Here is a 26,974-nt window from a genome sequence, read left to right on the forward strand (position 1 = left end):
GTGGAGCGCAGGCTCTTACCTGGGAGGTCAGTAGATGGGGGAGTCAGTGACAAGGTGAACGGTGTCTGTGAGAATGGCTTCACACTGAGGGAAAAAGGAAGCCAGGGGTTAGCCAGGTAGAAAGATGCTAATGTCACCAGCAAATGTTTACTGAGAGGCCACAACAAGCAAGACCCTGTGCATTTTGTGCACAATCTCACTGAAGCCTCACAGTGCGTGAGGTAGGTAGAATGACTGCTCTTTTCATTGCACAAATGAGGACAACTGAGGTATAGAGGGGTCAACTGACCTGCCCAAAGTCACACAGTTGAGATGCAGCAGAGCTGGGACTTGAACCCAGGTCAGTCTCAGCCCGGTATCTCAGGCTCTTGATGATGACATTTTGGTATCTCTCACAAAATGTCAGAAAGAGAAGAGAAACCAGCCTGGCGTGGTGGCTCACACCTGTAATCCCAGCACTTCAGGAGGTTGAGGCGGGCAGATCACTTGAGGTCAGGAGTTCGAGACCAGCCTGGCCAACATGGTGAAATCCCATCTCTACTAAAAATACAAAAATTAGCAGAGTGTGGTGGTGCGCGCCTGTAATCCGAGCTATTCAGGGGGCTGGGCCAGGAGAACTGCTTGAACCCGGGAGGCAGATGTTGCAGTGAGCCGAGATTACGCCATTATACTCCTGGGTGACAGAGCAAGACTCCATTTCAAAAAAAAAATAAAAAGAAAGAGGAGAGAAGAGAAACCAAGTCTTGGAAGGCAGGGAGAAGACGCAGAAGACAAGGAATTTGGAGGAAGAAGAGGCTGAGGGGTTGGGAGGGTGGGAAGAAAATGACCAACACTCAGGAGATGGGACAGGAGGCCAAAGTCGGGGTGGGGAGGCAGCACTGGCCAATAGAACTTTCCAGGGATGGAAATGTTCTATTGGATGGAAATCTGTGCCATCCAATACGGTACCCAGTGCCCACATGTGGCTACTGACCACAGACCACGTGGCCACTGAGCACAAGTGTGGCTCATGGACCTGAGAAACAGAATCTTTAATTTTATTTAATTTTAATTTAAATAGCTGCATGAGGCTAGTGGCTACAGTATCAGTCACAGCCCTAGTAGCCCAAGAGATAGTGGTGAAGAGACTTAGATGTCAGAGGTCAGACCAGGCGCAGTCGCTCACGCCTGTATTCCCACCACTTTGGGAGGCCAAGGCAGGAAGATCGCTTGAGCCCAGGAGTTTGAGACCAGCCTGGGCAACACAGCAAGACCCCAGCTCTATTTTTTTTTGAGACAGAGTTTTGCTCTTGTTGCCCAGGCCGGACTGCAATGGCGTGATCTTGGCTCACCGCAACCTCCGCCTCCTGCATTCAAGCGATTCTCCTGCCTCAGCCTTCCAAGTAGCTAGGATTATTACAGGCTGTGCCACCACACCCAGCTAATTTTGTATTTTTTTAGTAGAGACGGGGTTTCACTGTGTTGGTCAGGCTGGTCTCGAACTCCTGACCTCAAATGATCCACCCACCTCGGTCTCCCAAAGTGCTGGGATTACAGGCATGAGCCACTATGCCTGGCCTCCTTTTCTTATTAATTCTTTGTTTATATGTTTATTGTCTGTCTCCTCCCCCGCCCACCAAATATATGAAGCTCCGTGAAGGCAGGAATTTCACCTGTCTTACTGCTGTGCCCCCAAACCAAGCACAGTATCAGGCACTTAGTAGGCACTCAACAAATACTGGACTGGCCTCCTCTAGATTCCTGGAACCCAGAAAGATCTCCTACCTGAGGACTTTGTCGTGTGCTATTGTGTCTGCCTAATATATTCCCACTCCCATTCTTTTTTTTTTTCCTTTGAGATAGAGTCTCGCTCTGTTGCCCAGGCTGGAGTGCAGTGGCACAATCTCAGCTCCCTGCAACCTCTGCTTCCCAGGTTCAAGCGATTCTCCTGCCTCAGGCTCCGGAGTAGCTGGGATTACAGGCGCACATCACCATGCCTGGCTATTTTTTGCATTTTAGGTAGAGATGGGGTTTTACTATGCTGGACAGGCTGGTCTCGAACTCCTGACCTCAAGTGATCTGCCCTCCTTGGCCTCCCAAAGTGCTGGGATTACAGATGCGGGCCACCATGCCGGGCCTCCCACTCCCATTCTTCACCTGGCTAAGTCCTACCCGGCCTTCAATGTTATCTTCTCAGAGAAACCCCTAGAACTTTCTCCTCCACCCCAGAACCTGCTGTGGTTCTTCACAGCACCTCACACATTCTTCGATTTTCTGTTTATGCAGGTGATGATTTGATGAACGCTCATTTCCCCCATTTGACTAACAGCTCCATGAAAGCGGAAACCCCAGCGTCAGGGCAGTGCCTGCCCAGCCCCCTACCTTCCAGCTAAGCAACCCCCCTGCAAAACCCTCAGCCCCCAGGTACTTGATCTGATGCTTCCCGTATCCCCATTCAGCAGCAGCTCCCCAGTGACCTTCCTTCTCTTCCAGTCTAGATCCCACACAGCCTGTCACTGCACTCTTTTTTTTTTTTTTGAGCTGGAGTCTCGCTCTATTGCCCAGGCTGGAGTACAGTGGCACAATCTTGGCTCAATGCAACCTCTGCCTCCTGGGTTCAAGTGATTCTCCTGCCTCACCCTCCTGAGTAGCTGGGACTACAGGTGCCTGCCACCACGCCCAGCTAATTGTTTTTTGTTTTTTTTTTTTTGGTGTTTTTAGTAGAGACGGGGTTTCACCATGTTGGCCAGAATGGTCTCGATCTCCTGACCTCGTGATCCACCCGCCTCAGCCTCCCAAAGTGCTGGGATTACAGGCGTGAGCCACCACACTCGGCCCTCACTACACTCTTTCTCTGACAATACCGTCAACACTCCTGCCTCACCGTCCTGCAGCCACACTACCCAACCAATGCCTAGCCTGGATCCATCAGTTCCTCTCTGGGCTGAGAAATACACCCCTAGCCCGCCACGGTGGCTCACGCCTGTAATCCCAGCACTTTGGGAGGTCCAGGCAGGGGGATCACTTGAGCCCAGGAGTTCAAGACCAACCTGGGCAACATAGCAAGACCCCCGTCTCTACAAAAATCAAAAAATTAGCCAGGTGTGGTGGCACATGCCTGTAGTCTCAGCTACTCAGGAGGCTGAGGCAAGAAGATTGCTTGAACCCAGGAGGCTGAGGCTGCAGTGAGCCATGATTGTGCCACCGCACCCCAGCTTAGGCAACAGAAGAATATCCTGTATAAAAAAAGAAAAAAAAAAAAAAGCACTTCCCATCATCTTCTGGGGCCCATTTCTATTCTTGTAGGCTACAAACATATCCCGTCACCTCAAGGCTCTCTCAGAACTGAAAAGGACACTCCCACTTACCTCTGGGAAACATTTTCTTCCTTCTGAACCTAAGAGAAGATTAATTATAACCTCTGTTCTACCCTCAGGTCCAAGAACCACCTAATAGAGGCTGGGCACGGTGGCTCACGCCTGTAATCCTAGCATTTGGGGAGGCTGAGGCGGGTGGATCACGAGGTCAGGAGTTCAAGACCAGCCTGGCCAACGTGGTGAAAACCCATCTCTACTAAAAATACAAAAATTAGCCGTGCATAGAGGCAGGCGCCTATAGTCCCAGCTACTCGGGAGGCTGAGGCAGGAGAACTGCTTGAACTCAGGAAGCGGAGGTTGCAGTGAGCCGAGATCGCACCACTGTACTCCATCCAGCCTGGGCAACGGAGCAAGACTCCATGTCAATAAATACATACATACATGCATACATACATACATACATACATACATAAATGGGGGGACACAGGAGCTAGAAGGTGGAGTGAGAAAGGTCTCTGTGGGAGTGTGAGGGTGGGGGGCAGGTGCTGAGCCAGGACACATAGTACTCACTCTGGAACATTCCAGGGGGGCCCAGATCCTCCAGACCAAAACTGGAAAAGCTCAGAGGCCTGGATAGGACACAAAGAAAAATGGTTGGTCAGTCCCCTGTGGACAGCTGCAGCCCCATCCATCCCCCTTTGCCCCCACGTCCCACAATCCCCAACCTGGACCACCTGAGGACCAGTGGGACCCAGTTTGGCCTGCAGAGAAGGCGCGGAGATGAGCTGGGCAGAGGACATGGTTGCCATTGTCTGGAAAGCCTTGTCCTTGGAAACCTGGTCCTGGAGGAGGAGGCGGAAGTTCATGTGAGAGGGGCATCTCAGTCAACATGGCAAGAGGGGGATGGTGCCAGGGTGGGGTGAAGACGGGGAGGTGCAGAGGTGGGGAGTCAAGGCAAAGGGTTAGTGGCCGGGCATGGTGGCTCACGCCTGTAATCCCAGCACTCTGGGAGCCGGAGGCGGGCAGATCACTTGAGGTCAGGAGTTCAGTATCAGCCTGGCCAATATGGTGAAACCCTGTCTCTACTAAAAATACAAAAACTAGCCAGGTGTGGTGGTGCACACGCATAATCCCAGCTACTAGGGAAGCTAGGGCACAACAATCACTGGAACCCAGGAGGCAGAGGTTGCAGTGAGTGGAGATCGTGCCCCTGCATCCAGCTTAGGCGACAGAGCAAGACCCTGTCTCCAAAAAGAAAAAAAAAGGCAAAGGCTTGGGTTGGGGGAGGGTTGAACCTCTCCCCACAGCCCTCTGCCCCTCCTCAGGGACAGGGCACTAGTTTGGAGTGAGCGTGGGTGGGAGGATGGGCAGAGGAACTTACCACGTTCAGAGCCTGCCCGTGGGGGTGGGGGAGGGTGCCAAAGGAGGAAAGAAAACATGACTTAGGAAGTACGGCCCGGACTCCCCCACCTCCCTGCCCTACCCGCCCGCACAGCCCCGCCACCCTGAGCTGAGCAGTGCCAAGGGATGGATGCGCAACAGGAAGTGGAGGTGGCCAGCCCTGGAGGGGAAAAGGGGCTCCCTGCCCAGAAAGACAGTGATGGGGGTTTCTAGAACAAGGAAACCCAGAAGGTTCCCAGATGTCCAGGAGACAGGAAATGAGAATTTCAGAGCCAGCGGGAAGACAAGGTAAATGTTTCCTAATCCAGACAGAACAGACAGGGAACACAGAAGGTCGAGAACAGACCGGAAGGGAAGGGTTTCAGACCTAGAGAGAAAGAAAGGGAAAGCTGCTGGATACAAAAAAAAAAAAAAAAAAAAAACCAGAAGCGACCGTCCCCAAGTCCAGAAAAAGAGACAGAAAAACCCCCACACACCCAGAAGGGGGAGAAAATGAGGGTCTCCGGCCAACAGGAACCAGGAAATCCAAAGGATGAGGAGAAGGAAATGAATGAGGAATCTCCACCAGGAAATGAAGATTTCTGGGCACAAAGAGTAGGCAGGTCATGCAAAGGTCAGGAAATGGGAAAACAAACCAGCGGAGATGAAGAGGAGGCCTTCACAGCACAAGAGGGGGAAGATATGAGACCGCCAGGAAGAGGGAAAGGAGGGACAGGAGCAGAGGGAAGGGAGGGGGACAGGAACAGTGGTCAAGGGAGGGGACCGACGGCCCATCCTTCCTGCTGTCCTGAGCAAAACCTTCAGCCTCCTCCATGCCATCGCTCCCTGCCCAGGGTCTCAGCAACCGCACCACCATCCCTATGCATCTCCCTTTGTGGGCCACTGACTCCCCACCCTGGATGACTGCACCCCCCGCCCTGACCACAGAGGTCCCTCACCTGAGGTCTCTGTCCCCCTCTGTCTCTGGGTCTCTGTCTCCCTCTGTCTCTGGGTCTCTGTCCCCCTCTGTCTATGGGTCTCTGTCCCTCTCTCTCTGGGTCTCTGTCCTCCTCTCTTTCTGGGTCTCTGTCCCTCTCTCTCTGGGTCTTGGTCCCCTCCCCCAAGTCTCTGTCCCCCTCTCCCTGGGTCTCTGTCCCTTTCTCTCTGGGTCTCAGTCCTCCCCGCTCTAAGTCTCTGTCCCCCTCTCCCTGGGTCTCTGTCCCTCTCTTTCTGGGTCTCGGTCCCCCACCCCCAGTCTCTGTCCCCCTCTCAGGATGTCTGCATTGGTCCCTACCTTCAACTTGGACTGGATTTCCCTTGATTTCCTTCGGGCCAAAACCTGGATGTGACTAGAAACCTGGAAGGATCAACGGAGAAGCAGATTCAGGCCACAGCCACCGCCCCTGTGTTCACTACCCCTTCTCTCCCTCCAGGTGCCTCACTGAGCTGCTGGACCATGAAAGGTGAAAAACACACTGAAGATGAGAGCCATCTCGGGAGCACCCGAACACAGATGTCCATAAAGGAGCTCGTGAACACCACGGACCCTCCCGGGACCCATCCCATCCAGGCCTCCTTCCCCTCCACCATGCTCTCTCTGTGGCTACTCTGGGTCTAACACAACCACTAGAAAAACTATCCCCAAACAGGCACAGTGAGAGCACACGAACAGACATGCTGATACAGTTCGGACATTCGTCCCTTCCAAATTTCATATTGAAATGCCATCTCCAGTGTTGGAGGTGAGGCCTGGTGGGAGGTATTGGATCATGGAGGTGAACCCCTCATGAATGGCTTTGCACCATCTCCTTGATGATGAGTGACTTCTCACTCAGTTCACACAAGATCTGGTTGTTTAGGCCAGGTGTGGTGGCTCACGCCTGTAATCCCAACACTTTGGGAGGCCTAGATGGGCAGATCACTGGAGGTCAGGAGTTCAAGACCAGCCTGGCCAACATGGTGAAACCCTGTCTCTACTAAAAACACAAAAATTAGGGCTGGGCTCAGTGGCTCAGCTGTAATCCCAGCACTTTGGGAGGCCGAGGCGGGTGGATCACCTGAGGTCAGGAGTTCGAGACCAGCCTGCCCAGCATGGCGATACCCTACTTCTACTAAACATACAAAAAATTAGCCAGGTGTGGTGGTGCGCGCCTGTAGTCCCAGCTACTCAGGAGGCTGAAGCAAGAGAATCGCTTGAACCCGGGAGGCGGGGCTTCCAGTGAGCCAAGATCACGCCACTGCACTCCAGCCTGGGCAACAGAGCGAGACTCCGTCTCAAAAAAATATTTAAAAAATGAAAAAATAAAAATTTGCCAGATGTGGAGGCGCATGCTTGTAATCCCAGATACTTGGAAGGCTGAGGCAGCAGAATCGCTTGAACCCGGAAGGCGGAGGCTGCAGTGAGCTGAGATCACGGCACTGCACTCCAGCTTGGGAGACACAGTGACTTTTCTCTCAAAAACAACAACAACAAAAAGATCTGGGTGTTTAAAAAGAGTCTGGGACCTCTGTCTTTCTTCTGTTGCTCCCACTTTCCATGTGCCAGGCCTGCTCCCACTACCCCCTCCGCCATGATTGGAGGCTTCCTGAGGCCTCACCAGGAGCAGATGCCAGCTCCATGCTTCCTGGACAGCCTGCAGAACTGTGAGCCAAAATAAAGCTCTTTTCTTTCTTTCTTTCTTTTTTTTTTTTTTTGAGGTGGAGTCTGGCTCTGTCACCAGGCTGGAGTGCAGTAGCACGATCTTGGCTCACTGCAACCTCCGCCTCCCGGGTTCAAGCGATTTTCGTGCCTCAGCCTCCCGAGTAGCTGGGATTATGGGCACACACTGCCACTCCCAGCTAATTTTTGTATTTTTAGTAGAGACGGGGTTTCACCATGTTGGTCAGGATGGTCTCGATCTCCTGACCTCCTGATCCGCTCACCTAAAGTGCTGGGATAACAGGCATGAGCCACTGGCCCAGCCTAAAGCTCTTTATCAATTATCCAGCCTTGCCAGGCACAGTAGCTCACGCCTGTAATCCCAGCAATCCCAGCACTTTGGGGGGCTGAGGTGAGTGGATCACCTGAGGTCAGGAGTTCGAGACCAGCCTGGACAACATGGTGAAACCCCATCTCTACTAAAAATACAAAATTACCCAGGCATGGTAGTGCATGTCTGTAATCCCTGCTACTCGGGAGGCTGAGACAGGAGAATTGCTTGAACCCGGGAGGCAGAGGTTGCAGTGAGCCAAGATCGCGCCACTGCACTCCGGCCTGGGCAACAGAGCTAGACTCCATTTCAAAAAATAAACAAATACATAAATAACCCAGCCTCGGGTAATTCTTTATAGCAATACAAACGGACTAACACACATGCCGAGAAGACAGATGAACGCACAGGAAGCAGCTTCTTCCTTGAACCTGAACCTGCCCATGCGAGGATGACCCTAAGAAGACCGGCCCATCCCAGACAGAAGCCCACAAGTCCATTCCGAGACCTGTTTTCGAGTTCGGGTCTTCCCCGTTCTCAGCTTGATGTAGCGGGCGATCAGTTCATTCCGACCTGAAGATTCAAAGACGGAACAGAGTTAGTTAGACTTTCAACAGAACTTCCCCACAGCATGGACACCAGGGAAGAAGAAAGCAGCATGGGTCCCCAAAGGTCTGCAGCAAGTGGGCTGCCGGTCCCCTCAGCTACGTGGAAGCCAGACTGCTTGGGTTCAAATCCCAGCTCCATCACGCACTGGCTCTGTGCGACCATAAGCAAATCACTTAACCTAGCTGTGCCTCAGTTTCCTCATCTGTGCAAATGGTGATGCTAGCTCCTACTTCAGAGTGCTCCATAAACCTTGGTTACTGTCATTATTCATCAGTGGGGGCCAGGGCAAAAGACAGAAGTAGACTCACCATACATCTTGCCTTCATCAGACAAAATTATTTTCCGGCGGCCGCAGGGTGGATAGATGGCCAGGGCCTCCTGGAAGCTCTGCTCAATGTCTGGGCTCCACACCCCCTCTGCATCCGGGCCCCCGTCACCCCCAGCCCCCTCACTGCCGCCGGTACCCTCCTCACTGCCTTCCTCACTGCCCGTCCAGCCGCTGCCATCGTCCAGGGCGGCCCCAGCCCGGGGTTCCCCCATCTGGGCCTGGAGGAACACAGAACTCAGCAAGCTTCCCCCAAACCCCACCCTCAAGGGACTTGAAGCTGAGAGGGCTGGGACTCTGGACCACTGGGTCTGAGGGAGGAGGGGCTGGGGACCTGGACTCCTGGGTCTGAGGGAAGAGGAGCTGGGGGGTATTCCTGGGTCTGAGGGAGGAGGATCTGGGGCCTGAACTCCTGAGTCTGAGGGAGGAGGGGCTGGGGCCCGGACTCCTAGGACTGAGGGAGGAGGATCTGGGGCCTGGACTCCTGGGTCTGAGGGAGCGGGGGCTGGAGGCCTGGACTCCTGGGTGTGAGGGAGAAGGGGCTGGGGTCTGGACTCCTGAGTCTGAGGGAGGAGAAGGAGCTGGATTTCTTGGAAAGCTGAGGATGGGAGTGTTCTCAGAGTTTCCAGAGGAACTCAATTGTGATGAAGTCACAATGATTACCCTAGAGTAATGCCGAGGGCCATGAAGGCTAAAGGTTCGGGTATGAATTACGGGTTTTAAAGAAGACAGGAGGCAAAAGTTAGTGGTGGGGAAGGAAGGTGTGGGTGAAACTTCCCCTGTCCCACCCCAAGAACAGGTGGTAAGATGTGAGCAGCAGCTGCCAGAAAAGAAGAGGGGCCAAGCAAGACTGAGGGGAGGTCTAGAGAGAGGGGGACAGAGACCCAGAGAGGGAGGGGGACAGAGACCCAGAGAGGGGATGGGGACAGAGACCAGCAAGGGGGGGGGACAGAGACCCAGAGAGAGAAGGGGACAGAGACCAGAGAGAGAGGGGGACAGAGACCAGTGAGGTGGGGATAGAGACCCAGAGACAGAGGGGGACAGAGACCAGAGAGAGAAGGGGACAGAGACCCAGTGAAGGGGGGGACAGAGACCAGTGACGGAGGGGACAGAGACCCAGAGAGAGAGGGGGACAGAGACCAGAGGGAGGGGGGGACAGAGACCAGAGGGAGGGGGGGACAGAGACCAGAGAGGGGGACAGAGACCCAGAGAGAGGGACAGAGACCCAAAAAGAGAGGGAGACAGAGACCCAGGGAGAGGGGGAGACAGAGACCAGAAAGAGGGGGACAGAGACCGGGGGGGGGGGACAGGGACCAGAGAGAGGGGTCCAGAGGCCCAGAGAGGGAGACAGAGACCCAGAGAGAGAGGGTGACAGAGACCCAGAGAGAGGGGGACAGAGACCCAGAGAGAGAGGGACAGAGACCCAGAGAGAGAGGGGACCAGAGACCCAGAGAGAGGGGGACACAGACTCAGAGAGAGGGGGACAGAGGCTCAGAGAGAGGGCAACAGAGACCCAGAGAAAGGGAGACGGAGACCTAGAAAGGGCAGGGACAGAGACTCAGGGCAGCAGCTGAGGCCGAGACCAGGAGAGACCCACAGAACCACAAGCTGGGGGACAGGGGCGCCCTGCCATCAGAAGAGCCAGAACAAAGGGCCCAGGCGTCCCCTCCCCCAGCTTCCCACAACCCCCATCAGGGGAGGGGCTTGCCGGCCAGGGCGACTCCCCTCCGGCACCGGGCCCCGCCCCTCCCCTCCCCCGTGCGCCGTGGGCTCTGATCCAACTCAAGTTCCCAGTGACTTTCCGGAGGCCGGGAACAGGGAAAACTTTTTCCAATACAGTCAGATCCCGCCTCCCCGGAGGCTCCATGTCCTCCACAGCTTTCCCAGGACCCCAGAGTCCAGGCCCCTATTCCCCTCCTCCCGCCGACCATAGCAGACAAAGACCCCAGCCAAGCCCAGTGGCGCTGCGGCGTTCAGGACCCCCGTAGGCCAAAATCCCAGCCCAGCCCTTCCCCATGTGGCCAGACAAAGGGACGGTGGAGCCGGGTAAGAAAGGTCCCCCTAATTTCCCGCCCCAGACCCTAAACCTCCAAAGAGGCAAGACTTAAGATCCAGAAAGCCCCGTAACCTCCCCTCGGCCACCCCAGAGGCCCTCCCTTCTCCGTAAGAAGGACCAAATGCCCCCCAGATTACACAAGGGGTCCTTCTCACTCCAAAGTGACACCGCCGCAGACGCACGCCCCACACCCCGCCAGCGCCCTTGGCCCGCACCCGCTCCTGCGCGCACGCCCAAACTCAGACCCAGCCGCAGGCACCCTAACTCCGGCCAGAGTTCCCACTCCTCACTGAGGCTCGGTCACGGGAGCAAATTCGGGCCCCCGGGCAAAAAGAGGGCTGCGAACCATTCAGAGACGGTCCCGCAAACGCACGCCTCACCTCCTAAGAAGCAACTCCCCACCCCAACTCACACACCCCAAAGCAGGATCCCCGACTCCCGCCGGCGCCTTCCTACCTCCCGGCCTGGGGCTGGGGAGCCGCGGGCGGGCGGGGCGCTGCGAGGGAGAAAGTTGCCGGGAGCTTTGTTTGGGAAAAGTGGGAGGGACCGGAGGGGGGGGCGGGCCCGGCCGGCGGACAGCGGGAAGGGGGATCCGACGGTGACAGTTTGGGGAAGGATTTTTGCTTTGGGAGAGATTAGTCTATCTCGGGGCTGGTAGGAACTCAGGATTTGGGTGCTTGGGAAAGGAGGGGGATTGGGGGTTCGGACTCCAAGTCGGAGGGAAAAGGCTGATAGGAGCCAGAAACCCCTGATCTGAGGGAGGAGAGGCTGGGGGCTGGGACTCCTGGGTCTGGGGGCTGGGACTCCTGGGTCTGGGAGAGGAAGCGGCTGGAGAGAGATATGGGCTCCTAGGTCTGAGAGGGGACGGGGCTAGGCGCCTGGAATCCCGGCTACCCTCGTGTTTGTGTATTGGGGGTGCGGAAGTGATACGAATACAAAGAGTCTTTACTGTTAAGCCCTGAGGTTTTTTTTCTTTTTTTCTGTTTGGTTTTTGGTTTTTTTGTTTTTTGTTTTTTTTGTTTTTTTTTTTTTTTGAGGATTGGGGTCTGGGGATGGGTTTTGACTGATTCCTATGACGACCTGGTTTCCTTGTGACCTCACCACAGTTAAGAGTCGTGGGCAGGACCACCGGGAGTTTATTGGAGGCCCACGTAGGTGCAGATTCCTCATCTACAGGCGCTAGTGGACTGGAGACGGCTGGCGGCTGTCCCGGGACGGGGAAGAGAGCTTTGGTGCCTGAGGGAAGATGGCTTAGGGCCCGGTCCCTTAAGGGTGAAAGGCTGCGTGTTCAAAATTACGGGACTAGAGGGGGCGGGAGTCCGGACCTGAGGTCCTCAGGGAAAAGGAAGTCTGATTCTGGGTTCCTTGGAAGATGAAATATAAGACTGGATTTAGGGTTTCCGGAGACAACGGGACTTTTTAGTGGAGCGGGAGCGGGAAAACCAGAAGGGACACGGAGAAAAGGTTCCGAAACAGATACACAATTAGAGTGAGAGCTAAAAGGGATGCTTGTACTCCGGTGTCTCCAGTAGGAGGAGCCTAGGACTGGAACTTGGGGTGATGAGGGCAAGATCTGGGACGCAGGGGCGTGGTCCAGTGCAGGGGCGTGGCCCAGTGCAGGGGCGTGGCTTTCAGCCAAGGGGCGTGGCCATTGCGATTGGGCGGGACTCCGAAACGAGGGCCGCAATCAGAGAACACCGCCAGGACTTCCAGGACTTGGTCTCCAGGACTGAGGTCAACTGACGTGGGCGTGGTCTGACTGTGTGGGCGTGGCCAGGGAATGAACTCACGGCTCTGGCTTAAGGGGTGTGGTGAACGAAGGATGGGGCGTGGCTGTGTCACCAAGGGCGTGGTCATGGAGTAGAGGCCCGGGCTCCTGGGTGAGGCCGGCAAGTTTGGAGCGTGGTCAGACAATAGGGGCGTGGCTACGGCTCGCGGAGCGCAACCAACGCTCTAGACCAGACCTGGGCTCGAGACCATAACTGTTTGGCTTTAACAGTACGTGGGCGGCCGGAATCCGGGAGTCCGGTGACCCGGGCTGTGGTCTAGCATAAAGGCGGAGCCCAGAAGAAGGGGCGGGGTATGGGAGAAGGTGAGGATTGAGATCTGGTGGTGAACGTGGGCGAAAGTGAGGAAAAGACCATTGGATGAGGCCGGGTGCTGTGGCTTACGCCTGCAATCCCAACACTTTGGGAGGCCCAGGTGGGCGGATCGCTTGAGATCAGGAGTTCGAGACCAGCCTGGGCAATATGTCGAAACCCTGTCTCTACAAAAAATACAAAAATTAGCCGGGCGTGGAGGCGCGCGCCTGTGGTCCCAGCTACTTCGGGGGGCTGAGGTGGGAGAATCACCTGAGCCCGGGGAGGTCGAGGCTGCAGTGAGCCGTGATTGTGCCACTGTACTCCAGCCTGGACTACAGAGTCTCGGTCTCAAAAAAAAAAAAAAAAAAGCATATGAGACAGAACCCAGAAGAGCCAGACCTGGGAGAAGACGGGGCCTGGCAAGGTGGAGGGTGTGGGAGTAGAAGAAAGAAGCAGTGGGGGAAATGAGCGCGGTGTGGGAGTTGCCTGAACTGGGGAGGCGACCTGGGCAAGGTGCTGGAGAGGGGCGTCTTGGGTGGGGGCGTGGCCACTGTGCGGGGCTCTGACCCCGACCCTTGCCACAGCCTCCCCACCTGCCCCCGCAAGGCGGCATCTGCTGGTCCTGCTGCTGCTCCTCTCTACCCTGGTGATCCCCTCCGCTGCAGCTCCTATCCATGATGCTGACGCCCAAGAGAGCTCCTTGGGTCTCACAGGCCTCCAGAGCCTACTCCAAGGCTTCAGCCGACTTTTCCTGAAAGTAAGCGATGGCGGGGGGATGGGGGAAGAAGTACTGAGAAGAGGTTCAGGGACACAGAGTGGGAGATGGTTCAGGGCCAGGCAGGGGGACAGACAGGATGAGAGGGCAACAGGGAGACCAAGAGATAGGAAGAGGGAAGGGACTGGGCCCAGGCTATAATCACAGCACTTTGGGAGGCTGAGGCAGAAGGATCATTGGAGCCCAGTACTTGGAGACCAGCCTGGGTAACATAGTGAGACCCTCATCTGTACAAAAAAATATAAAAAATAGTTGCAGGTACATGCGCCTATAATCCCAGCTGCTTGGGAGGCTGAGGCAGAAGGATCCCTTGAGCCCAGGAGGTCGAGGCTGCAGTAAGCCATGATAGCACCACTGCACTCCAGCCTGGATGACAGAACAAGGAGACCCTGTCTCTAAACAAATAAATATATACGTGCATAAATAAGAGAGGAAAGGTAACAGGCAAAGAGAGAGGAGATGGGACAGAGACAAGAGACTGGGGAAAGAGACAGGAGGAGAGGGGGATGGGGACAGAAGAGGAACAGGGATAGTAAGGCAATGGGACTGAGAATAGAGAGAGAATTCATGGGGGATGGAGGCCGGAGGTTAGGCCCTAAGTATCAGAGGGCAGAAAGTAAAGGGGATGGGAGGGACTTGGGGCAAGGCCTCGGGAGCATCCTAGCAGGGCTGCAGAAGGGGCTGTACTGAGGAGATGTGAGGTCCAGCAGCTCACCAGTCCCTCCTCCGGCCCCAGGGTAACCTGCTTCGGGGCATAGACAGCTTATTCTCTGCCCCCATGGACTTCCGGGGCCTCCCTGGGAACTACCACAAAGAGGAGAACCAGGAGCACCAGCTGGGGAACAACACCCTCTCCAGCCACCTCCAGATCGACAAGGTGCCTATGCAGGGAAGCCCTTCCTGAAGTCCCCTTGGGATCCCTCCATCCCGCCATCCCTCGTGCTGCAGTATCTGTTGGGAGGGAAGGAGGGCGGAGGAGGAAAGCAGGTTTGCTCTCACTCTCTCATCGGATCCTCACAGATGACCGACAACAAGACAGGAGAGGTGCTGATCTCCGAGAATGTGGTGGCATCCATTCAACCAGCGGAGGGGAGCTTCGAGGGTGATTTGAAGGTTAGGACGTGCCCCGCCGTCAAAGTGTCCAGGCCCAAACATTTTCTTTTTTTCTTTTTTAAAGAAGAGTCTCACTCTGTCACCCAGGCTGGAGTGCAGTGGCACGATCTTGGCTCACTGCAACCTCCGCCTCCGAAGTTCAGGCAATTCTCCTGCCTCAAGCTCCTTGGTAGCTGGGATTACAGGCACCTGCCACCACGCCCGGCTAATTTTTTGTATTTTTTTAGTAGAGACAGGGTTTCTCCATGTTGGTCAGGCTGGTCTTGAACTCCTGACCTCAAGTGATCTGCCCATCTTGGCCTTCCAAAGTGCTGGGATTACAGGCATGAGCCACCATGCCTGGTGAGGCCCTAACATTTTCTGTAGTTTAGGAGGACAAGAAGAGGAACTGACCCTCTTACTCCTCTGTGTGGAACTTCCTCCTTCTGAGCCTCAGTTTTGCCATCTCTCAAGTGGGGCAATCCAACTGTCAGAAATGAGATTTTTGACCTCAGAATACATCTGCAAGGGTTTAGTAGACCCTAGAGGGTTTTGTATCAAAGTGGTTTTCTTTTTTTTTTTTAACTACATAATAGTCAATCAAAGTGTTTCTATGAGCACCAAAATGTTTTATAAACCAAGAAGGGTTTTTAATTCTAAGTGCTTGGAAAGCTTCACCCTCATAAACCCCAAATTGTGTTTTTGTCTCAAAGTAAGTGCTCTGCAAACTTCAGAGTATTTTTCAATCTATCCCAAAGTGGTTGGTAAACCTCTCCATTATAAACTCCAAAATGTTTTTGTTGTTATTGTGGTTTTGATTTTTGGGGTTTTTTTTGTTTGTTTTTTTGGTTTTTTTTTTTGAGAATGGAGTCTTGCTCTGTTATCCAGGCTGGAGTACAGTGGCACAATCTCAGCTCACTGCAACCTCCAACTCCCAGACTCAAATGATCCTCCCACCTCAGCCTCCGGAATAGCTGGAACTACAGGCGCGGACCACCACACCCAGCTAATTTTTCTATTTTTAGTAGAGACGGGGTTTCGCCATGTTTCCCAGGCTGGTCTCGAACTCCTGAGCTCAGGCAATCCGCCCGCCTCTGCCTCCCAAAGTACTAGGATTATAGACATGAGCCACCACACCTGGCCCAAAATGTGATTTTCTTCTTCTTTTTTTGTTTTTTTTGAGATGGAGTTTCGCTCTGTTGCCCAGGCTAGAGTGCAATGGCACAATCTCAGCTCACTGCAACCTCCGCCACTGAGGTTCAAGTGATTCTCCAGCCCTAGCCTCCCAAGTAGATGGGACTACAAGTACGTGCCACCACGTCCAGCTAATTTTTGAATTTTTAGTGTAGACAGGGTTTCGCCATGTTGGCCATGTTGGCCAGGCTGGTCTCGAACTCCTGACCTCAGCTGATCCACCTGCCTCGGCCTCCCAAAGTGCTGGGATTATAGGCATGAGCTACTGCGCCTGGCCCAAAATGTGATTTTTAATACCAAAGAGCTGTATGAATGCTAAATGCGTTGTGTATTTCACCTTTGGTAAACTTTTTTTTTTTTTTTTTTGGAGACGAAGTCTCGCTCGTCCCCCAGGCTGGAGTGCAATGGTGCGATCTCAGCTCACTGCAACCTCCATCTCCCAGGTTCAAGTGATTCTCCTGCCTCAGCCTCCTGTGTAGCTGGGATTACAGGTGACTGCCACCACACCTGACTAATTTTTCTATTTTTAGAGAGACAAGGTTTCATCATGTTGGCCAGACTGCTCTTGAACTCCTGACCTCAGGTGATCCAACTGCCTTGGCCTCCCAAGGTGCTGGGATTATAGGCGTGAGCCACCATGCCTGGCCAGGCCACCTTTGGTAAACTTCTACAAGTGATTCTAATTATGAAGTGCTTTGCAAAATCAGGGTATTTTTAATCCTGAAAAGTTTTAAGAAACCCAAAGAGCTTGATACATCCATATGATACCCACGTACACCCATGCAATATCTTCATTTTAAAAATGTTTATTTAAAATTTTATTTTAAAAATTTCAGGACAGGCACAGTGGCTTACACCTATAATCCTAGCAATTTGGGAGGCTGAGGCAGGAGGATGACTTGAGCCCACGAGTTTGAGATCACCCTGGGCAATAGAGGGAGTCTTCATCTCTACAAAAAAATTTAAAAAGTAGGCCAGGCATGCTGGCTTACGCCTGTAATCCTAGCAATTTGGGAGGCCAAGGCAGGCAGATTGCCTGAGCTCAGGAGTTCGAGACCAGCCTGGGCAACACGGTGAAACCCTGTCTCTACTAAAATACGAAAAATTAGCCGGGCATGGCAGCCTGCACCTGTAGTCCCAGCTACTCTGGAGGCTGAGGTAAAAGAATTGTTTGAACCCGGGAGGCAGAGGTTGCAGTGAGCCAAGATCATGTCACTGCACTCCAGCCTGGGGGACAGAGTGAGACTCTGTCTCCAAAAAAAAAAAAAAAATCAAAAAAGTAGCCAGGTGTGGTGGTGTGTGCTGTGGTTCCAGCTACCCAGAAGCCTGAGGTGGGAGGATTGTTTGAGACGAGGAGGTTGAGTCTAAAGTGGGCCCAGATCATGCCACTGCACTCTAGCCTGGGCAACAGAGTGAGACTCTGTCTCAAAAAATAAATAAATAAATAAATAAATAAAATTTCAAGACTACAGAAAAGTTTTTTTTAAAAAACATACTTTATTATTTTGGAAATGGAGTCTCCCTCTGTCACCCAGACTGGAGTGTAGTGGTGCCATCTTGGCTCACAGCAACCTCCACCTTCTAGGTTGTGGAAAGTAAAAAAGTTTCTCTTTAAAGTTTTTATTAAATAATAAATCACAAGTGTTAGAAATAATATTTTTAATTAACTTTTTTTAAGCCTCTTTGCTTTGTGTTAGTAACTCTTTTTTAAACCATATCTTATGTAGTTGTTAGATATAAGGAAATAAGTACCTTCTGTGTCCTTGTACGTTAACCAAGATATTTGGTCTCGACGTGCTCAAGCATGTCCCAGCTCACAGCTTATGCCCTTTCCTTATTTGGAAATGTTATTACTTCTCCAAGTCTTTTGGCAAGCAACTTCCTCTTTTCCTTTGTTCTCCATTGCCTTTACCTATTTAAGAAAGTTTTTTAAGTTGTTAGCCAATTGGGTTTAGCTTAGACTGTGAGGTCCAGCTCCAACCAATGGAGACAGGACACAGCAGTAAGGACCCAATGCATAAGGGATAAATATTCCTGCCTTTCTTTGTTCATTGTGCTCTCCTGGCAGGATTGCTGATGGGCAGCACCCTTTCTACAGAAAGTAAAATTGCCTTGCTGAGAAAACTTTTTGTCTGAATGCTAATTTTTCCTTGCGACACCAAGAAACAAGCATTTTGATTCTAACACAGGTTCAAGTGATTCTCCTGCCTCAGCCTCCCAAAGAGCAGGGATAACAGGCACGCACTACAATATCCAGCTAATTTTTTTTTGTTTGTTTTTTGTTTTTTGTATTTTTAGTAGCGATGAGGTTTTGCTATGTTGGCCAGGCTGGTCTTGAATTCCTGACTTTGGGTGATCCACCCACCTCGGCCTCCCAAAGTGCTGGGATTACAGGCAAGAGAAGTTTTTCTTAAAATAGTACAACAGATTTTAGGCTCTTCTGTATCTGCCCACCGAGCTACTCTGTTCCTGGCTTAGAGAACCAGGAGAAGGGGAAGGGGAATCACCTGCCACATGCTGGAGGTTGGAGCCTGTGGCACCATGGCTTGCCTCACTGCAGTTGGTGGTGGCAACAGAGGCTGCAGTGTGGCCAGAGTGGCTTTTCTGGCTTTGCCCGCCCAGCCACTCTGAGAAAGGCTGGAGGAGAAAGTGAAGGAGGAGTCACCTGTGGTGAGGTGGAGTTTGGAGCTTGCAGATGGCACGGCTCTGTGGCTCACCTCCTACAGTTGTGGCGGTGACAGCGAGGGAGACTTCAGCCTGACTGGAGTAGAAGGGTGCTCGTGAAGGCTAGAGTATTGCCTCCAAGATGCAGCAGTGGATACTCAGGTTTCAGGAGACTCCACTGTCCATGGCGAATCCATGGTCTGCCAGCGCAGTTTTAGAGAGAGAATGTGCCACCGCAGGTGTCATCCTCATGTGCACCCTGGCAGGTAGCCATCTGAAGATTTCAAGGACAACCTGGCAGGGGAGCAGACCAGCGACACTTCCTCTGAACAGGTTCTTGCTGTTCACTTGACAGACTCAGCAACTCAGGCAAGTGTTCACATGGAAGATATCCTGGAAGGATACCAAGCCAGTGAAAGCTCAGATGAAAATGCCCCATGGCTTTGGAAGGCCAATGAATGTGCCAAGGAAAAAGGTGCCATGGAGGATCCTCTGGAAGACCTCGCCAATGAAATTTCAGATTAGGACACCCCACTGGATTTGAAGGCCAAAGAACGTGCCAAGGAAAAAGTTCCCATGGAGGATACCCTGGTGGAAGACCTTGGAAACGAAAGCTCAGATAAGGATGCCTCACTGGACTTGAAGGTTGACAAACGCATGAAAGAAAAAGTTCCCACAGAGGATACCCTGGTGAAAGACCTTGCCAATGAAAGCTCAGATGAGGACGCTCTACTGGATTGAAGGCTGATGAATTCACCAAGGAAAAGTTCCCACGGAGGATACCCTGGTGGAAGACCTTGCCAACAAAAGCTCAGATGGGGATGTTTTGCTAAATTTAAAGGCTGACAAATGAGCCAAGGAAAAAGTTCCCATGGAGGATACCCTGGTGGAAGACCTCACCAACGAAAGCTCACATGAGGATGCTCCACTGGATCTGAATGCCGACAAATGTGCCAAGGAAAAAGTTCCCATAGATAATCCAGTGAAAGAATTTGCCAACAACATCAAGGAAAAGGAGGCCCCATGTAATGTGAAGGCACCCTAGGGAGTCCAGGTAAATGATTTCAAGGATGACCTGGCGGGGATGGTGATCAGTGAAAAGTCCCCAGAAGCAGCCCTATCTCTTCACAGGGCAAAATGAGATGCCAAGAAAAAAGATTGCTTCGCCATTCTTGTAGCAGAGCTTCCTGAAGAGATGTCCTCAGGGCAAGTGCTGGCCGTTGTCACCGTGAAAGGCATCAAGAAAAATGGTGGCTCTGAGGACAGCTTTTCTAAAACCAGTAATGACAAAGACTCTTCCTGTAGTGGAGACACTCAAGCTTCTGGAGCAGATATGGAAGAGTCCAATCATGCAGATGACCATCAGCATATGCCAACAAGTACTCTCCCAGCACCTGCAGAAAAAACAATAGAGACAAAGCCTGAAAAGGCAGAAGAAATGTAACCCAGTGAGTTCAAGGAGGATGAGGATGCTGAAGAGCCTGACCTGACCTGTTGTGACCTTTGTTTTTTATGCTAGAAGTCCCTACAGATTTTTTGAACACCTGGAAGGGCCGGGTCACAAGACCTCACCCTGGCCCAGCAACCATCTGGACCGTGAGAGTTTTGGGGATTTTGCTACTCTCTCTGGACTTTTACATTCTCTTAATTTTTTAAAAAATATTCTTTCTTTAACCTGTTTTAAGATGCAAGCTGTCATTGCGTCATCATAGTTACATTTTATTACTCAAATAATTTTTCAATTGTTTTACTAGTTTTTTTTGGATCTTTGTCCACTGGTTTTAGAGTTTTTGTAATTTTGATAAATGATCTTTTATGCTTTGTATCATTTTCTTAATGACTTACCTTAGTTTTTAACAAATCCATGGTACAGTAAGTTATATTAAGACATAGTATTTTTATGTTTTTTTAAATTATACTTTGGGTTCTGGGGTACATGTGCAGACATGCAGTTTTGTTGCATAGGTGCATGTACCATGGTGGTTTGCTGTACCCATCAGCCCGTCACCTGCATTGGGTGTTTCTCCTGATGCTATCCCTCCCCTGACCCCCCACCCCCCACCGACAGGTCCTGGTGTGTGATGTTTCCCTTCCTGTGTCCATGTGTTCTCATTGTTCAGCTCCCACTTGAGTGATAACATGCAGTATTTTGTTTTCTACTCTTGTGTTGGTTTGCTGAGAATGATGGTTTCCAGCTTCATCCATGTCCCTGCAAAGGACATTAACTCATCCTTTTCTGTGGCCGAATAGTATTCCATGGTGTATATGTGCCATGTTTTCTTTATCTAGTCTATCACTGATGGACAATTGGGTTGGTTCCAATTCTTTGCTATTGTGAATAGTGCCATAATAAACATGCATGTGCCTGTGTCTTTATGGTAAAAAAAAATAGTATAATAAATATCCCTATAGTCTCTTTTCCATAAACCAAAATTTCTTAAGGTTGGCATCATTGGCATGTGGGGCTGGATAATCTTTATTGTGGGAGCTGCCCTGTGCACTGTAGGATATTTGATAACATCCCTGGGCTCTATCCACTAGAGAGAAGTTGCCTCCTGCCAGGCACAGTGGCTCATACCCGTAGTCCCAGCACTTTGGGAGGCAGAGACGGGCGGATCATGAGGTCAGGAGTTCGAGACCAGCCTGGCTAACGTAGCGAAACCCCGTCTACTAAAAATACAAAATATGGGGCCAGGCACAGTGGCTCACACCTGTAATCCCAGCACTTTGGGAGACCGAGGCAGGCAGATCATGAGATCAGGATATCAAGACCATCCTGGCTAATGCGGTGAAATCCCGTCTCTAGTAAAAATACAAAAAAATTAGCCAGGCATGGTGGCAGGCGCCTGTAGTCCCAGCTACTCAGAAGGCTGAGGCAGGAGAATGGCGTGAACCCGGGAGGTGGAGCTTGCAGTGAGCCGAGATCGTGCCACTGCACTCCAGCCTGGGCGACAGAGCGAGACTCCGTCTCAAAAAAAAAAAAAAAATACAAAGTATGGCCAGGAGTGGTGGCTTACACCTATAATCCCAGCACTTTGGGAGGCCGAGGCGGGCAGATCACCTGAGGTCAGGAGTTCGAGACCACCCTGACCAACATGGAGAAACCCCGTCTCTACTAAAAATACAAAATTAGCCGGGCATGGTGGCACATGTCTGTAATCCCAGCTACTCAGGAGGCTGAAGCAGGAAAATCGTTTGAACCCAGAAGGTGGAGGTCGCGGTGAGCGAAGATAGCACCATTGCACTACAGCCTGGGCAACAAGAGCGAAACTCCATCTCAAAAAATAAATAAATAAATAGGCTGGGCATGGTGGCTCACGCCTGTAATCCCAGCACTTTGGGAGGCCAAGGCAGGTGGATCACCTGAGGTCAGGAGGTTGAGACCAACCTGGCCAACATGGTGAAACCCCGTCTCTACTAAAAATGCAAAAATTAGCTGGCATGGTGCCATGCCCCTGTAATCCCAGCTACTCTGGAGGCTGTGGTGGGAGAATCGCTTGAACCCAGGAGGCAGAGGCTGCAGTGAGCCGAGATTGTGCCACTGCACTCCAGCCTGGGCTACAGAGTGAGACTCCATCTCAAAAAAAAAAAAAAAAGAACACAGTCATGTTGGATTAGGGCCCAACCTAATGACCTCATCTTCACCAATTATATCTTCAATGACCCTAGTTCCAAATAAGGCCACATTCTGAGGTATTACAGGTTAGAATTTCAAAATATGAATTTGGGGAGGAAACAATATGGTTGTTTGTTCGTTTGTTTTTTAAGCCTGGGTCTTGCTCTGTTGCCCAGGCTAGAGTGCAATGGCACAATCTTGACTCACTGCAGCCTCTGCCTCCCAGGTTCAAGTGATTCTCCTGCCTTAGCCTCCCAAGTAGCTGGGATTACATGAGCGCGCCAGCACGCCCAGCTAATTTTCATATTTTTAGTAGAGACAGGATTTTGTCATGCTGTCCAGGATGGTCTCAAACTCCTGACCTCAAGTGATCTGCCCACCTCAGCCTCGCAAAGTGCTGGATTACACACATGAGCCACCGCGTCCAGCCAGGAGGAAACAATTTAACACATAACAATCTCCTGCGCGGCTTCTCAGACCTCATCTTACTAAAAGGCAGACTGATTCAGCAGGTCTGAGTGGGGTGGGACCTATTAATTTGCATACCTAACAACAGCAGCCCACCCTTTGAATTGCAAGGACCAAACAGACACTCAGTCCATATTCAAACTTTCTCCCTCAACTCAAAGCTGTCCTTGAAAGCTTTATTTTTTTTTTTTCCCTTGAGATGGAGTCTCGCTCTGTCACCCAGGCTGGAGTGCAGTGGTGCGATCTCGGCTCACTGCAAGCTCCGCCTCCTGGGTTCATGCCAATCTCCTGCCTCAGCCTCCCGAGTAGCTGGGACTACAGGCGCCCGCAACCATGCCCGGCTAAATTTTTTTGTATTTTTAGTAGAGACAGGGTTTCACCGTGTTAGCCAGGATGGTCTCGATCTCCTGACCTCGTGATCCGCCAGCCTCGGCCTCCCACAGTGCTGGGATTACAGGCATGAGCCACTGCACCTGGCCCCTTGAAAGCTTTTGATTCAGGATCAATGAAGGATCACACATTGCATTTATGGTCATGAGTCTTCGGTAAACCCAAGAGCTTTTAGTCCTAAAGTGCTTTGTACATTTCAAACTGCTATCCTCTAAACCTCAGAGAGGATTTAATCCTAAAGTGCTCTAGAATCCCAACAGGCATTATAATCCCTGAAGTGCTCTATTACCTCCCTTTTGAAAGCCCCCAAACAAATTTTCCAATCCCAAAGCATTCTGTAAACCTCAGAGTATTTTTAATCCTTAAGTGTAAACCCAAGTGCTTTGTAAACCTCAAACAGGGCTTTTGAACCCACAAAGCATCCTGTCATCTGCAAAGTGGGCTGAATAGGTCAGTGGGGACTGACCATCCTGGGGTGCTGTTTGGAGTATGAGAGGGTCTCCTTGTTCTTCCTCCCCAGGTACCCAGGATGGAGGAGAAGGAGGCCCTGGTACCCATCCAGAAGGCCACGGACAGCTTCCACACAGAACTCCATCCCCGGGTGGCCTTCTGGATCATTAAGCTGCCACGGCGGAGGTCCCACCAGGATGCCCTGGAGGGCGGCCACTGGCTCAGCGAGAAGCGACACCGCCTGCAGGCCATCCGGGATGGACTCCGCAAGGGGACCCACAAGGACGTCCTAGAAGAGGGGACCGAGAGCTCCTCCCACTCCAGGCTGTCCCCCCGAAAGACCCACTTACTGTACATCCTCAGGCCCTCTCGGCAGCTGTAGGGGTGGGGACCGGGGAGCACCTGCCTGTAGCCCCCATCAGACCCTGCCCCAAGCACCATATGGAAATAAAGTTCTTTCTTACATCTAACAACACCATCTCCTTTCACTATTTATCCCCAACCGCCTGCCAACCAGGCCATGGCAAAGGCCCCCAGTCCCAGCTCTGAGCATGAGAGCTGGCTGTGCTAGCTCTTGCCTAAGTCTCCCAGGCTTGGTTTTCTCATTCAGGCATTGTCTGTGCTGTAGCCCCATCTGTCCACTCAGCACCCAACCCTGTCACCTCCAGCCCTGTCTGCACTCCCAACTCTCAGCTATTTTTTTTTGCTTTTTTTTTTTTTTTGAGAACAGGGTCCCACTCTGTTACCCAGGCTGGAGTGCAGTGGCACAATCACAGCTCACTGCAGCCTTGACCTCCCAGGCTCAGGTGATCCTCTCACCTCAGCCTCCCCAGTAGCTGGGACCACAGGTGTGCGCCACCACGCCCAGCTAATTGTTGTATTATTTAACATAGGGATCTCCCTGTGTTGCTCAGGGTGGTCTTGAACTCCTGGGCTCAAGCGATCCTCCCACCTCAGCCTCTCAAAGTGCTGGGATTACAGGCTTGAGCCACTGTGCCCGGCCCCCAACTCTTTCACTCCAGTCCTCTCTACTTGGCCCCCGTACTGTTACTGCCATAAAAATGGGCACAAACTTGGCAACTTAAAACAACACAAATGCATTATTTCACATATCATCCTGGTCAGAAATCCAGGATGGCTCCGCTGGCCCTCAGCTCTGGGTTTCACAGGGTGTCAGCCACCCGAGCTCTCATTGGGAGGCTCTGGGAAGAAGCTGCTTTCAAGCTCATTCAGATTTTAAGCAGAATCGAGTTCCTGGGCTTGTGGGACTGAGGTCCCCACGTTCTTGCTGGCTGTCAGCTGGGGGCCACCCATGCTTCCACGCTTAGCTCCAAGAGGCCTCTCTCCAGTTACTGCAGGTGGACCTGACATCCCAGAGCCACAGCCCAGTATCATGGCGGGACTCTGACTTCCCCTTGTGTCCCATCTCTGGTATGCCTTCCTCTTCTGGCAGAGACAGTCCTCTGCTTTGAAGGGCTCATGTGATTGGACTGGACCTACCGGGACAACATATTTACAGTTTTCAGGAATTATGGGGTGATCATCTTTGGGGGACCACTATCCAGCCCCACTCAGGTCCTTCCCATGTCATCTCCAGCCTCGACTCTGTGGTGTCCACACCCACCTATCCTTGTCTTCATCTTCTCATTCTCTCACTACCCCCTGACGGAGAGACTCCATCTCCAACTTGCTATTTCTCTCTCTTTGTCCCTCTATCTGACCCTCCCTGCTCACCACCTCAAACTCCCTCACTTCCAGGCCTGATGCCACGTCCAAACTTGGAAGCTCACAGAGCTTGCCTGTGGTGGTCTGTCCACTTTGTCCTTCCTCAGAGCATTTCCTGTCCCCTCTGAGAATCCTCCGTCATGACCCATCAAGGAGAAAGCTGATCTGATCCTCCCCAGTGCTGAGTCCCATCTAGGACCCGGACACGGCATGTACTCTCTCCCTTGAAGCCCAAGCTGAGCGCTGGATCACCCCATAGACTCACACACTCAGGAACCCAACAGTGAGTACAATGAATACAAGTCAACTTTTTTTTTTTTTTTTGAGACCGTCTCGCTCTGTCGTCCAGGCTGGAGTGCAGTGGCATGATCTCAGCTCACTGCAGTCTCTGCCACCACCCAAGTTCAAGTGATTCTCATGCCTCAGCCTCCCAAGTAGCTGGGACTACAGGTGCTCACCACCACGCCCAGCTAATTTTTGTATTTTTAATAGAGATGGGGTTTTACCATTTTGGCCAGGCTAGTTTCAAACTCCCAACCTCGGGTGATCTGCCCGCCTCAGCCTCTCAAAGTGCTGGGATTACAGGCATGAGCCACCACGCCCGGCCAAGTTTGGCTGCTTCTAAGGCCTCTCTCCTTGGCTTGAGGATGGCTGCTTTCTCACTGTATCCTCACATTGTGTCTTTTTGTTTTTTTTGTTTTTGAGACAGAGTCTCACACTCTGTCGCCCAGGCTGGATGGAGTGCAGTGGCGTGATCTCCACCTTCCAAGTTCAAGAGATTCTTCTGTCTCAGCCTCCCAAGTAGCTGGGACTACATGCACGCGCTGTCATGCCTGGCTAATTTTTGTATTTTTTAGTAGCGACAGGGTTTCACCATATTGGCCAGGCTGGTCTTGAACTCCTAACCTCGTGATCCACCCACCTCGGCCTCCCAAAGTGCTGGGATGACAGGCGTGAGCCACTGCACCCGGCCCACATTGGCTTTTATTTGCAATTCTAGAATAGGGCAGTACCTCATTCTATAAAGTAAAATGAGTGTTCCCATGAGCCGAGCAGAGAAGGGTTGTTTACGATCTCGGCTCACTGCAATCTCTACCTCCCGGGTTCAAGCGATTCTCCTGCCTCAGCCTCCCGAGTAGCTGGGATTAAAGGCTCCTGCTGCCACACCCAGCTAATTTTTGTATTTTTTGTAGAGACGGGGTTTCACCATGTTGGCCAGGTGGTCTTGAACTACTGACCTCAAGTGATCCGCCTACCTCAGCCTCCCAAAGTTCTGGGATTACAGGCGTGAGCCACCGCACCCAGCTAATTTTTGTATTTTTAGTAGTGACAGGGTTTCATCATGTTGGGCAGGCTGGTCTCAAACTCCTGACCTCAAGTGATGCACCCACCTCAGCCTCCCAAAGTGCTGGGATTACAGGCGTGAGCTACTGTGCCCGGCCAGGGATTACATTTCTTTTTTTTTTTTTTTAATTTTTTATTACAGAACAATTATTATCTGTCATCAAACTATCCTTTCAGATTCATTTTGAATACCTCCTTTCTTTTTTATTTTTCTTTGAGATGGGAGTCTCGCTCCGTCGCCCAGGTTGGAGTGCAGTGGCGCCACCTCGGCTCACTGCAATCTTTGCCTCCCGGGTTCAAGTGATTCTCCTGCCTCAGCCTCCTGACTCACTGGGACTACAGGTGCCTGCCACCATGCCCGGCTAATTTTTTGTATTTTTAGTAGAGACAAGGTTTCACCATGTTAGCCAGGATGGTCTCCATCTCCTGATCTCGTGATCCGCCCACCTCGGCCTCCCAAAGTGCTGGGATTACAGGCATGAACCACTGTGCCCGGCCTCAATTGGTCATTTCAAAGTTACTTTACTTGTGGCCAGGTGT

At 52.0% G+C, this 26,974-nt stretch overlaps 2 protein-coding genes and 1 long non-coding RNA gene across 54 annotated transcripts in view, besides 3 other annotated features; 1 reads left to right on the forward strand and 2 right to left on the reverse strand.

Annotated features, from left to right (window-relative positions):
* TEAD2 (TEA domain transcription factor 2) overlaps positions 1-11,135 on the reverse strand; it is a 21,822-nt gene extending 10,687 nt beyond the window's left edge. For 2 of the 42 annotated variants that reach the window (XM_047439535.1, XM_047439523.1), the window contains exons 1-8: positions 11,092-11,135; positions 8,563-8,800; positions 8,154-8,218; positions 5,971-6,033; positions 4,678-4,689; positions 4,031-4,138; positions 3,867-3,925; positions 20-84 (exon numbers count right to left, since the gene is read on the reverse strand). In XM_047439535.1, the coding sequence (XP_047295491.1) occupies positions 20-84; positions 3,867-3,925; positions 4,031-4,138; positions 4,678-4,689; positions 5,971-6,033; positions 8,154-8,218; positions 8,563-8,794 (604 nt within the window). In that variant the 5' untranslated portion in view covers positions 8,795-8,800; positions 11,092-11,135. Of the gene's footprint in view, positions 1-19; positions 85-3,866; positions 3,926-4,021; positions 4,139-4,677; positions 4,690-5,970; positions 6,034-8,153; positions 8,219-8,562; positions 10,237-11,015 lie in introns of those variants that run through there. The other 40 variants (XM_011527404.3, XM_011527399.3, XM_047439533.1 and 37 more) reach the window with 33 other exon arrangements.
* Positions 8,464-8,964: an enhancer, noted in NCBI's record as "H3K4me1 hESC enhancer chr19:49863002-49863502 (GRCh37/hg19 assembly coordinates)". NCBI's record gives its function as "activates a minimal SCP1, AML or CMV promoter by ChIP-STARR-seq in naive H9 embryonic stem cells {active_cell/tissue: H9 hESC(naive)}" and the evidence as "EXISTENCE:reporter gene assay evidence [ECO:0000049][PMID:30033119]".
* On the forward strand, positions 9,234-23,835 carry DKKL1 (dickkopf like acrosomal protein 1). Of its 11 annotated transcripts, none has more exons than XM_017026593.2 (5): positions 9,234-9,320; positions 13,301-13,473; positions 14,228-14,368; positions 14,512-14,604; positions 23,436-23,835. In XM_017026593.2, the coding sequence occupies exons 3-5, from the start codon at positions 14,270-14,272 to the stop codon at positions 23,745-23,747; spliced, it is 504 nt and encodes a 167-aa protein (XP_016882082.1). In that variant the 5' UTR covers positions 9,234-9,320; positions 13,301-13,473; positions 14,228-14,269; the 3' UTR covers positions 23,748-23,835. The 11 variants fall into 11 exon arrangements, with proteins under 11 accessions (XP_016882082.1, XP_011525027.1, XP_011525028.1 ...); XM_011526725.2 differs by having other exon boundaries at positions 9,234-9,282; XM_011526726.3 differs by lacking the exon at positions 9,234-9,320 and adding an exon at positions 10,509-10,625.
* Positions 9,510-10,219: an enhancer, noted in NCBI's record as "H3K27ac hESC enhancer chr19:49864048-49864757 (GRCh37/hg19 assembly coordinates)". NCBI's record gives its function as "activates a minimal SCP1, AML or CMV promoter by ChIP-STARR-seq in naive H9 embryonic stem cells {active_cell/tissue: H9 hESC(naive)}" and the evidence as "EXISTENCE:reporter gene assay evidence [ECO:0000049][PMID:30033119]".
* Positions 10,220-10,928: an enhancer, noted in NCBI's record as "NANOG-H3K27ac-H3K4me1 hESC enhancer chr19:49864758-49865466 (GRCh37/hg19 assembly coordinates)". NCBI's record gives its function as "activates a minimal SCP1, AML or CMV promoter by ChIP-STARR-seq in primed H9 embryonic stem cells {active_cell/tissue: H9 hESC(primed)}" and the evidence as "EXISTENCE:reporter gene assay evidence [ECO:0000049][PMID:30033119]".
* The window catches only part of LOC101928295 (uncharacterized), a 19,377-nt gene continuing 9,826 nt past the window's right edge, over positions 17,424-26,974 (reverse strand). Inside the window, exon 3 of the long non-coding RNA NR_110729.1 lies at positions 17,424-19,862. This is a non-coding gene — a long non-coding RNA (uncharacterized LOC101928295). The remainder of the gene's footprint in view (positions 19,863-26,974) is intronic.

This window comes from Homo sapiens, chromosome 19 (assembly GCF_000001405.40).
Source record: "Homo sapiens chromosome 19, GRCh38.p14 Primary Assembly".
NCBI classification, from domain to species: Eukaryota; Metazoa; Chordata; class Mammalia; order Primates; family Hominidae; genus Homo; species Homo sapiens.

Excerpts from the sequence above, each read along its gene's own strand:
- DKKL1 (XM_006723142.3), top strand. The coding sequence starts at position 12,783 with ATGAGGCCGGGTGCTGTGGCTTACGCCTGCAATCCCAACACTTTGGGA. Across the intron at positions 13,474-14,227 it reads TCAGCCGACTTTTCCTGAAA|GGTAACCTGCTTCGGGGCAT; the intron begins GTAAGCGATGGC and ends CTCCGGCCCCAG. Across the intron at positions 14,369-14,511 it reads GCCACCTCCAGATCGACAAG|ATGACCGACAACAAGACAGG; the intron begins GTGCCTATGCAG and ends GGATCCTCACAG.